This window comes from Homo sapiens, chromosome 8 (genome assembly GCF_000001405.40).
Source record: "Homo sapiens chromosome 8, GRCh38.p14 Primary Assembly".
Classification (NCBI taxonomy): domain Eukaryota; kingdom Metazoa; phylum Chordata; class Mammalia; order Primates; family Hominidae; genus Homo; species Homo sapiens.
Window position 1 is genome coordinate 68,292,122 of NC_000008.11, and position 12,746 is coordinate 68,304,867.

The 12,746-nt window shown below is 38.2% G+C and overlaps 1 long non-coding RNA gene and 1 pseudogene across 1 annotated transcript in view; both read right to left on the minus strand.

Annotated features, from left to right (window-relative positions):
• On the minus strand, positions 1,416 to 1,695 carry RPL31P40 (ribosomal protein L31 pseudogene 40; annotated as a pseudogene).
• Positions 11,347 to 12,746, minus strand: part of C8orf34-AS1 (C8orf34 antisense RNA 1) — a 28,024-nt gene continuing 26,624 nt past the window's right edge. Inside the window, exon 3 of the long non-coding RNA NR_038877.1 lies at positions 11,347 to 12,680. This is a non-coding gene — a long non-coding RNA (C8orf34 antisense RNA 1). The remainder of the gene's footprint in view (positions 12,681 to 12,746) is intronic.

Here is a 12,746-nt window from a genome sequence, read left to right on the forward strand (position 1 = left end):
AGTGTGTAACCTTTTCAGACTGGCTTCTTTTATTTAGTAAAATATATTTCAACTCATTCAAGTCTTTGTGTGGCTTGATGGTGCGCTTTTTTTTTTAAGGTAATTTTAGAACTTTATTTGATGTATTTGAGGATCAGCAGTTAGTTCTCATCCACACTAACTGTAGATTTTTGAAAGTGGTTACCCGTGATGGAAGTGACCACTGCCATCATTCTGGCTGCAGGAGAGAGGCGGGGCTGGGGCTGGACACTCCATGGAGCCGGTGGGAGCCCCGCCCCTTCTCAGTTGGGATGAGAGCTCCCCGGGTGACGCTGCAGCCACCCGAAACACAGCTGCAGACCCAGGTGTCTTGCTCTATGGAGGAGGCAGGAGTCCCATCCTCCTGGGCGGGCTACAACCACCCAAACTGCAGCCACGGCTCCGAGCCTCCCTGTGTTCTCATGGGAGGGGCAGGAGCAGGCAGGATCTGCCCCGCTACCGGTGCTGCTGCGGCCACCCTCCCAGGCGGAGGAGCCGGGCGTCTCTGCAGCCGGCACTCTCAATGGCCCCAGGAAGGATGCCCCGCCATCCCTGCAGGTTCAGGGGTGTCTGCTCCCACTGTCTGGCCTCTCTCCACTTCTGGTGCCTGCTCCAATCTCCTAGCAGGGCTTGGGCTGAGCCACAGGGCCTTGACTGGCAGCGGGAGGCAGACAGAGTCCTGGGATGAAGGGGGCAGGTCCCCAGTAAAGCCCCACCTTCAGGCCAGGGAGGGCCTGCAGGCTGCGGGCTAGGCTGCCAGTCCCGTGGACCTGAGTGGGGACTCATGGTGCCTCTTCTGGGCTCCCTATGGCTGCCCAGGGACCAATTGGCAGGCACTTCCTCCCCTCTGAGGTCCAGGGCAGAGGACAATGGCCGGAGGAGAGGACAGCAGAGAGATGACAGTAGAACCAGATGCAAAGAGGAGTACCCTCTCGCTGAGAGCTACAGAGATGACCTGATGGTAGGGAGGAGCTACTTTCCCTGCTGAGAGCTTCAGAGACCAGTAGAGAGGAGCTACTGTCTCTGCTGAGAACTTCAGAGACCTGCAGAGACGAGCTACTCTCTGCTGAGAGTTTCAGAGACCTGCAGAGATGTCCAAATGACTTACCTGTGGACAGGAGCCACCCTCTCCAGGGCCTCCTCTCTGCTGAGAACTGAACCTTGGACGGATGACCTGCCTACAGAGATGAGCTACCCACTGCATGTCTCCTCCGAGTTGTTGTAACACTTAATAAAGCTTATCTTCATCCTGTTTACCCTTCATTTGTCTGTATACCTCATTCTTCCGGAACACAGGACAAGAACTCAGGCAAGGGTGCCATCAGCCACAGAGGTTTCTGGGAAGAAAATCAACACCCCAAAGATCCCAGTACACAGGTACATAGGTAACAAAAGTATTTGTTACTTTTCCCGGACAACCACACATGGATACGATATGGGACATTCTTTATTCCTTTGGCCCAGACAGCTTAGTTAAGCCTGGTATCAATGCACACATCTGGAGTTCATGTCTTCTTCATGGCAAATTTCCAGATCTCTTTGAGTGCTGGAGGGGCATGCTTCTTCAAGCCCACTCCATGGATGTGTTTGTGAATGTTGATGATGTATTCTTGTCACCACATCGTTGATGGGGGAACGGCCCTTTTTCTTCCAGCCACCCTTCTTTGTGGGAGTCATTCTGCTGGGCCCAAGTTGGAAAGGCCATAGTGCATTTCTTTTTATCATCAGATAGTATTCCTTTGTTTGGATATGCTACAATTTGTTTATCCTTTCATCTATTGAAGGATATCTTGGTTGCTTCCAGTTTTTGGCAGCTATAAGTTGCTATAAACATTTGTGTGCAGGTTTTTGTGTGGATATGTTTTCAAATCACTTGGGTAAATAACTAAGAGTGCAATTGGTGAATCATATGATAAGACTGTGTTTAACTTTGTAAAAAATACTGCCAAATGGTCTTCAAAGTGGCTATACTGTTTTGTATTTCCAGTAGTAATGAATGAAAGATCTGTTGCTCTGATCTTCTCTAGCAATTGGTATAGCCAGTTTTAATGAACTTTAGGGTAGGCACTAATCCAATGTGACTGGTGTTCTTATAAGAAAAGGAAGAGACATCAGAGATGAATGCACACTGAGAAAGGACCCTATGAGAATACAGCAAGAAGGCAGCCATGTACAAACCAAAGAGAGAGTCCTCAGGAGAAACCAAATCTGCCAACACCTCGATCTTGGACTTTCAGCCTCCAGAACTGTGTGAAAATAAATATCTATTATTTAAGCCACCAAGTTTGTGGTATTTTGTTATGCCAGCCTGAGCAAACTAATACGCAAGGTTTCAAAGTTTTTCTTCTATGTTTTCTTCAAGAAGCTTTATAGTTTTTGCATATAGATGTGGAATTTTAGCAGTACAAATTATTAAAGAGGCTGTCTTTTTCCATTGAAGTACTTTTGCAATTTTATTAAAGATCAGTTGACTATATTTGTATAGCATTATTATTCTTTTATTATTTAGATGAGTGCATGTGAATTAATATTTAAAACAGTATTACTTCCAAATAAGGCAACGATTCATTTAGCTTAATATTAACTACAAGGCTATAAAGTGATCTGTATGACTCATTAAATCATTTGATTTTTTTTCTAGATGAGGTCAGACAGATCTATTTCTTAGAAGAGAACATTTCAATTTGAGGAAAATGCCAATGATTTATTTTGGCATTTTGGGAGTCAGCCTCCAGGCCAAAATCTTATGTGTGATCATTCAGATCTAACCATGGGCAATGACAAAGGTTTTACCTGGCTTCCTCATTGGGGCAAGCTGCCCCTCTCACCCTAGGCTTTCTGCACAGCCAGTGCATTGCAGCCTCTGGAGAGAGTTGCAGTCAGAGACTCAGCTCCTGTTCAACTCCCCTCTCTCCTTTTAACACCCTTTCCCCTGCCTCCCGCTGACCATAACCTTACTATATCTGCATTCCTAGCCTAGGTGTCTCCATTCTAAGACATTACTTGGGGCAGCAGGGATACTCAACTGAAACTGATTAGGCACCTCTGTTGAGACCTACTTATGGGAAGGCCCTGAAGAAACTTTTCTCTATTCTGACTCAGTACTTTTGTACTCCTAGCCCTCCCTTCTCAGGATTTGTAAAATGGCAGGAGCCTTTTTTCCAGAACTTCCTGGGCAGTGAAAGGATCCTGCTCCCACTCCTCCCACCTGTGCCAATACATCTCTTCCTCTGTTGGTGCTGTTCCATGGGGGGAAAAATGGAAGACTGGGAAAGCCACTGTCTACTTTCTGCTTTTGATCTAGTCCTTACACTGTCAGAGTAAGGGATTAAAGGCTTCATTGTTACCTATTTGACCATCCTGACACCTACGGCTCTCTACAGCACTTATTACAGTTCTTTCCTGACACTTAAATAGAGTCCTCAGTTCCTCCCAGTAATCTTTTATATGTCTATCTATCTATCTGTACATCCACCTATCACTCTGTCTATCTACAAGATATTTTAATTAGTTTTATGGATTATGGCTAGAAGATGGGACCACAGTCTGAGAGCTTCCAGGAGCACTGAAATCTAGGACCTTCCACATCTGAAAATAAATGACCACTTTCAACTTTTAAAGTCCAAAATGTCATTATTGTGATAGTCATGAGAGCTGTACTTACTAAATTGGCTTAAGAAAAGATGATGGGCATCCACTAAATTTCATCTAGAATTATGGTGCATGTCACAATGTTTCTTAACTTCTCTAATGGTTAGGTTTTTATTTTCTTCACTTTTCAGGTGAGTAAATTTGTATCAGGATTACTAATTAAAATCAGATTCCTGGCTCTGGAGTAGGTAGCTAGTCAGACATGAGCAGGGCAGGAGAGGGCTCCTCACCCAGGAATGTTAGGTGACCATTAGGTGATGGTCAGGCAGTTGTTAAACTATGTCTCTGAAATGATCATTGGTCATAGCCAGTGCCATGGAAAGGCAGTCTCCCAATAGATGGAAAACACTTGGAGGTGGTGATCAGCGGCTTCCTGATAAGATCTCAGGAGTTGGGCAAGTGGGCTTAAGCATTCACACTAACAGGCAAAATAGTGGATGTATGACCTTCTCTGGGAGTGTTTGACCAGTAAAGGTGAATCACCCGTAGACAGCATGTGCACAACCTCAGTAAATGCACTACACATACAGTCATCCTCCCAAATGCTGACCAACACTGTGCGAGTGGCAGTTAAGCAACAACCTGCCCCAAGGGAAGGCTCAAGGGAGGAGAAACACAAACCCTGGAACCATGCCAATGTAAAACCCCAAGTCCAGGGCTGAACAGGGCACTTGGATCTCTCAAGTCACCTGCTTGGTCCTCTTCCAAGTCCACTTTGATTCCTTTCGCTCCTGCTCTAAAACTTTTAAAATAAACTCTCACGCCTGCTATAAAACTTGCCTCAGTTTCTCCCTCTACCTTATACCCTACTTCTGCCCCTCAGCCGAGTTCTTTCCTCTAAGATGGCAGGGATTGAGTTTGCCACAGACCTGTACTGATTCACTGCTGGTTACACTAGGGGCCACCAAGCCAACTGAAGTAAGGGTTTCCAGGGGAGTTATTATAGTTAAGTGCCTGGGCTCATTCTAGTCATCAAAGAAGTTTGGTAATCCTGGCCAGACTTGAAGGTGAAAAAAGGTTTACAGTAAGTATCCTGGTCTTCCTGCCTTCAATTTATTAAATTGTCATAAAATTTATTAAGTTTGCCAGCAAAACCTTTATTATACTAGCATTGTTTTGATTCTGCTTCACCCTTTATTCTTTATTCTTTGATTCTCCAGACTCCATTTGGTTTAAGGAAACATTCTCAAGGTTAAATTTTTATTTTCTTCACTTTTTGGGTGAGTAAATTTGTAAGAATTCTCAGGAAATTGGTGTCATCTAATTTTGGGAGATGTATTTTATTTGAGTGTGATGAAACTTACACTAGACATATTTAAAATAAAGACAGACACATATAATTACACTTGCATGTATTTTCAGATCTCTGAAGTTGTTGCATAGGGCAATCTCATGATAGCCATAAGAGCACTTCTTTATTTTGTTGTTTCTTATAGCTATGATTTATTGTATCTATTTGCAATCCCTAAAGAATTCTATAGAATTTTAAGTTAAATTTACATGGAGAATATTTTTTTTTCTAATGCTTCAGCAGATTCACACAACAGCTGCTGGATTCTCCTTCAAATAGTTCAGTAACATGAAGATCTGGAAGAGATTTGGGCTTACTCTATATAACAGGCCCAGAGTTTGTCACTTATAATTGAAGCATAAGCTTCCCCATATTACAGTACTCCTTCCATCTCCATCATTAAGTAAAATCTATAATACTTAAAAAGCTGTTATATATATTTATCCAGCTGACACCTGCACACATGAATACACTACTTTTTGAAATAGAAACACATATTTGCAAATTCATTATAGAAACAAGCATCTCACTCATATTAAATTTCACAACAGAAATCACTGTAGCATAAAGGGTAACAGACTCTGTGTTACCTATAATGAATGCATTTGAGTTTACAGAATGAGGCTCTAAATTATCATAACTTAGAATTTTAAATACTTGAATATAAAATAACTTTAGTTACTACTTTCCCAAGATGTTGATAAGGAGCACCCCTCTACACACACACACACACACACACACACACACACACACACACTTTTCAACTAAATGCTATTCTATAATAATAAAAGTATAAGTTTTGAAATGGGGCAATCTGACTCTTGCAACAGATAGATTGAATGTGGAATGTGACTGGTATGGATCTTTTTGGTCATAACTGAAGATTTTTTCAGTTGGTAAAGCAGTTTCATAAAATGTGTTAGCCCCTGCCTTTACAGAATTCACAAGCTAGCAAGGGAGATAGATATATATAAAATATTAGAAGGCAAAACAACAAGTAAATACTTGTTGGAGGTAAATGTACTATTTGAGGTAAGCACAGAAGGGGTGAGTCAGAGTGAGTTTGTCTGGAAAAGTCAGAACCACTCACAGAAGAGGAGATGAGTGTAGGGAAAGTAAATAAATAGAGAAAGAAAGGGACATTTTAGGAAGAAAGAATATTCTGTGTCATGTAATGAAAGTGTGAAAAACTAAGATCTATGTGACAAAGTAGATGTCACTTGGTATGACTGTAACATCGGATATATATATAAGAAAGAAGCCTCTCTTACCAAGGATAAATGAAGTTCCAGTGAAAATAAAGGTGATTGGAGTATCATGCCATCACCTAAGACTTAAAACAACTTTTAAGGACTTGAAGGATTTATATTTAAACTGAAATATCTAATTTAGTCGACAGTAAGTATTCACAGAGAAAAACATATGTACTCAAAGCATATGCAATACATTTGAAGAAGGAACTTCATTAAAGATCTGTATCTATGTGATTGGCAATCACCTTAGTTAATATATTTTCAGTATAAGCATGGTATCAGGAAATACATGACCAGGTACTGACCAGCCACCCAAGGACTTCTAGGTATGCACATTTGAGGGCCTTCCATCAAAATAATCAGAAAGTCTTAGCAGAACTGCATTTATTACTTACTTAACAGGTTAGTCACCATGGCAGACCTTCTAATCTGCCTCTTAGTTCATTAATTTTGAAAATGAAAGGGTAACTCAGGATCAAGTTTTTAATATGAAAGAGGGTCCAAAAGTAATAAATATGGTAAATTTTTCAAAGGAAAGAGAGAGAATGCAGAGTAGTGGAAAACTTTAAAAATAAATTACTAGAGATACCACTTCCAGTGTGGGCCCAAGGAATTTACTACTAGGCTGAGCACATATAATATATAATTTATATGTGTTAATGTAGTTGATAGGTATCATATGATACCTATAATCCTTGGACAATATATGGAAAACAACTACCTGAAAACAGTAGAGAGTGAACAGAAGTAGGTGGATTCCACAGGAGAAATGACATTTGGAAGAAGGGACTCTCCTCTCTACCTTTTTAAAAATGTTTTTTACTTAAGGGTAATCAGAAGTTGGCAACATACTGAGTGGCTAAAACATCAGAAAAAAAAACATTTTTCTGGCTTGAAGAAACAAAGAACAGAGTTCAGATATATGAGAGATAATGGAAAGTGAAGGAAAAATCCTGGAAATGTGTGAGTAAAGGAGGGGAACCCCAAATTCTACATACATAAATTTTGAAAAAAAATTATGGTCACCCTATCCATGCATACATAAAGAAAACTGTAAGCAGCATATGTTCAGTTTGAGACAAACCAAGTCAATTCCCTGCAAATAAAAACTCAACACCTTTTGGAGAAATTTAGAAGAACCCAGAGTTTCTAAATTACAGAATTCATGATGTCCAGAATGCAATCCAGAATTACCAAAGCAAAATAGGAAAATATGACCCATTTTCAAAAGAAAAGGCAGTAAAAAGGATTGAACCCCAAAGTGACCAAGATGTTGGAAATGGTAGATAGGATTTTAGAATGGATGCACAACTACACTGAATGAAACGAAGGGAAATCCACTCACTCACGATAAATAAAAAGATAGGAATTGTTAGAAGAGAGATAGAACCAAATGGAAATTCTAGAATTGAAAATATATTTGAAATTCAAATTTACTGGGCAAGTTTAGCAGCAGAAAGGAGATGGCAGAATAAAGGGTAAGTAACCCCTGAAGATAAATCAGTATAATTTATCTAATCAGAAGAAGGAAAAGGATAAAGATAGAAGAAAAAGAGGATTAGCATTTCAGGGACCTATGAAACAATAGCAAAAGGTCTTAGATATGTATATTGTTGTGTCTCAGAAGAAGAACGGAAAGAGAATCAGGGAAAAGAATATGTGGAAAATAATGGCTGTGACTGCTACTTCTGGCCAAGATGGAGTAACAGAGACCAGATTTACCTCTTATTTAAAGCAACCCCCGAAATTAGATAAAATATGCAAGGCAACACTTTTTAAGACACTGAAAATCAGGCAATGATAACAGAAAAGAAATGAGGTCAGTACTATGATTGCTCCAGCTTACTGACTTGAGAGCACTTCCAGGCTACAGTGAAGGAGAAGTGACCCATTTGGGCCCAGTGGTCTTCCTAAGTTGCAGGGGAGAGGAGGACAGGGGGAGTTGTTCAATAAGGAAAGAGTTTCAGTTTTGCAAGATGAAAAAATTCTGGAGATTGGTTACACAACAATGTGAATATACTTAACACTGAATTTTATACTTAAAAATGGTTAATATGGTAAATACTATGGTATGTGTATTTTACCATATTTTTTTAAGTGAAAACCCAGAAACAACCTAAATGTCTGAAAACAGGAACCTGATATTATAAAACACGGCATTGCCATGTGACAGAAAACTCTATGTCCTCTAAAGATAAGGCATAGTGGAATAATATTTCATGACTTCAAGAGTCCATGATTTAGTATTAAGAAAAAAGTAGGATTATAAAACAGCGTGTGAACTAGAATCCACTTTTTAAAAACATGTATATCTAAATAAGAAGTCTAGAATGTTCACAAGCATTATGACTAAGTGACACAATTACAGGTATTTTTGCATCATTTGATATTTTTGAAATTTTCTATAATACATTATTTTTGTGATCAAATTTTAAAGTTATTAAAAACAATTTTAGGCTGGGCACAGTGGCTCACACCTGTAACCCCAGCACTTTGGGAGGCTGAGACAGGTGGATCACTTGAGTCTAGGAGTTCAAGATTAACCTGGGCCACATGGCAAAGCCTTCTCTCTACAAAAAATACAAAAATCAGCCAAGCATGGTGTGCACACCTGTAGTCCCAGCTTCTTGGGAGGCTGAGGTGGGAGAATTGCTTGAGCCTGGGAGGCAGATGTTGCAGTGAGCCAAGATTACACCACTGCACTCCAGCCTTGGCAACAATATGAGACCCTGTCTCAGAAAACAAAACAATTTTAATACATGAAACTACATTGGCGATAAAATCATATAGAACTGTTAAGTACTATTAAATTCATTTTTTCCTTACCAAGGTGAAGAGAAAGACTGCCCATACCAAATGCTGGTAAGGATATGAAATTACTGGAACTCTTAAACACTTTTCTTGGGAATGTAAAATGGTACAATCTGTTTAGAAGCAGTTTGGTAATTTCTTAAACAGTTAAACATACTTCTACAATATGGCCCAGCCATTCCACTTGTAGGCATTTACCCAAGAAAAATAGAAAGAGTGTATACGAATGTTCATGGCAACTTTGTCTGTAGTGGTCTCAAAGTGGACACAATCTCAGTGTCCATCAGCAGGTGGATAAATATATTGTAGTACATCCATACAACAGAATACTACTCAGCAATGAAAAGGAACGAACTATTGATACACACAATAATGTATGACTCTTGAAATAATTGAGTCTCAGTGCAAGTAGCTAGACAAAAAGTATACATAATGTATGAGTTCATTTCTATAAAATTCTAGGAAATGCAAATGTATAGTGTCAGAAAGGAGATCAGTGGGAGCCTGTGAATCAGATGGAATGTGGGAGGAATTACTAAAAGGCAGAAGGAAACATTCTAGGGTAATAGATACGTTCATTGCTTTCATTGTGGTGATGATCTCCTGAGTGTATATGTATCAAAATGATCCAAATATACATTTTGAATATGTGATGCTTATTGTATGTCAAATCTACCTCTCAATAGGCTTTTTAAAAAATTAGCAAACTTCAAGTTGAAAAATTAAAAATAAAACTAAATTTTGGCTCATCCTAATGAAAGCACTGAATACCAAAAAATAAAGAGGAAATCTTGAAAGCATCCAGAGAAAAACAACACATTCAATAAAGGTGAACAGTATAGCAATACACCATAATTACAGTCCTGAAAGAACAGAAAAAAAAATCTAACAACCAATTCTCAACCAGCAAAGATGAAGAAGGCAAAATAAAGGCATTTTTAGAAAAAGAAAAAGAGAATTCTTTACCAGTAGACTATCTCCTTGAGAAATGCTAACGGAAATTCTTCACGTTTTAGGTAAATGATAACATATCACCCTGCTGATCTTCAGGAAGGAATTAACACTGGAAATAAAGACACACATTTCATAATGCCAAAAGAATCATCAGTTCATTTAGGAAGACAATATTCATAAATAGTTTTTTTTTGTCTCTGAATAGCTTCAAAATTCATGAAACAACATTCATTAATCAAAGGGAGAAATAAATGATTCTAAAATCATAGTTGACAATTTTTAACAACATTCTTTTAGCAATTGATAGAGCCAGATAAATAAAATTAATGAAGACGTAGATGGATTTGAACAAACTATCAACCACCTTGACCTAAATGATTTTATAGAACACTACACTGAATAACTGCAGAATATACATCTTTTCAAGTAAATACAGTGTGTTCACTGAGATAGATTATATGCTGGACCCTCCAACAAGTCTCAATAAATTTAAAAGTGTTGAAAGCATACAGAATATGTTTTCTGAGCATAATATAATTAAATTAGAAATCAATAACAATGTGGCATCTAGAAAAATCCCTAACATTATAGCAAATCCCTCAAATTTCTTTAGTAAATAAATCAGCAAAAAAATTAGAGAATATTTTGAGATTGAAAATACATAAAACCATATAATTTTTGAAGGAAAACATAGGATAATGTTTGTGATTTGTGAGAAGGCAAAATTTGGGACCTGAAACATAAAGCAATAACCATAATAAAAAATGAATAAGTTACACTTCATCAAAATTAAAAACTGCTTAACAAAACACCACTAATGAATTGAACAGGCAAGCCACAGATTTTAAGACAATGTACATTGCAAAGCATGTATATAACAAAGGCCTGGTATGCAGCATATATAAAGAAATCCTACAACTCAATAATAAAAAAACAGCTCCATAAAAATGGTGAAAGGAATTGAATAGACATATCAACAAGTACATGAAACAAGTACATAAAAATATGTTTAACATCGTTAGTCATTAGAGAAATGCAAATTAGAACTACATAGAGCCACCACTACACACCCCTTACAATGACTAAAATTAGAAAAGCTAATTTTTGGTAAGGATGTGCAGCAACTGGAAATCTCATACATTACTGCTGGGAGTGTAAAATGGGACAATATTTTGGAAAAAAGAGGTAGCATTTTCTTCTAAAACTAAACATATATTAACCTATGATCCAGTAACATAATTTCTGGGTATTTACTCAAAGAAGGCATATATATGCATAAAAAGCCTGTACGACAATATTCAAATCTGTTTCATTTCTAATAGCCAAAAGTGGAAAACATCCCCCAGATACTTTGATGTGAGACAAGAATGAATAAACAAGCTTTGGCATTTTTATTCAATGAAATATGCAGCAATAAAAAGAACCAACTACTGACATGCAGCAATATGAATAAATCTCGAAAACATTATATTGAGCAAAGGAAGCTAGTCATAAAATTGTACATAATTTACTACAGTATTTTAGTTTTATGAAGTTCTAAAACAGACAAAGCCAATCAATGATGGAGAAAAATTTGAACAGTAGTTTTCTTGGGGTGTGGTCAGGATTGGTGATTGAGAAGGGACACAAAAGATTTTGCTAGGGTGATAGTAATGTTGTATAATGATGGGCTTTGAGTTATAAAAGTATATACATTTTTCAGAACTAAGTAAAATGTGTGTGTAAATTAATTGTGTATTAATTGTACATCAAAAGGAAAAAATTGAACATTGAACTCTAATTAATGGCAGAGCATGTGGAAAGATCTAGGAGAAGCATGCACTTGTTTGCAGTTTACTTTCAAAAGCATATAACAAGTAATATATTAATTCAGGAGTAAATACATGAAAAAGCAAGAATATAGGTGCTGAGTGTATATTAGCATTCATGCTAAAATTCTTTCATTTCAGCTATACATTTCAAAAGTTTGATTAAAAAAATTTGGAAAAAGTAAAATGCTACAACCAATAGCTTTACAGAGAAGAGAAAACATATCAAAAAGACAAGAGATAACCAGTGTTGGAGAGGATGTGGAGAAAAGGAAGCCCTTATACATTGGCGGTGGGAATGTAAATTAGCACAGCTATTATGGAAAGTAATATGGAGTTTCCTCAAAATATTAAAAATAGAACTGCCTATATTCCAGCCCAATTCCACTTCTGGATACATATCCAAAGAAAATGAAATGAATATGTCAAAGCAGTATCTGCACTCCTATGTTCATTGCAGCTTATTCACAATAGCCAAGATATGGAATCAACCTAAGTGTCCATCAACAGATGAATGGATAAATAAAATGTAGTATATATGTACAATGGAATACTATTCAGCCTTAAAAAAGAAAGAAATCTGGTCATTTGAGACAATATGGATAAATCTGGAGGAAATTATGTTACACGAAATAGGCCAGGCTTAGAAAGACAAACACCACATAGAAACAGAGGGTAGGCAGGGTTCAGGGGCTCATGCCTGTAATCCCAGCACTTTGGAAGGCTGAGGCAGGAGGATCGCTTGAGTTCAGGAGTTCAGGTGTCATGGAGCATGCCTGTGGTCTCAGCTACTTGGGAAGTTGAGGCAGGAAGCTTGCTTGAGCATGGGAGCTTGAGGTTGCAGCAAGCTGTGATCAGGGCACTATACTCCAGCCTGGGCAACAAAGTGAGACCCTGTCTCAAAAAGAAACAAGAAATAGAGAGTAGAATTATGGTTACCAGGAGCTGAAGGACGAAGGA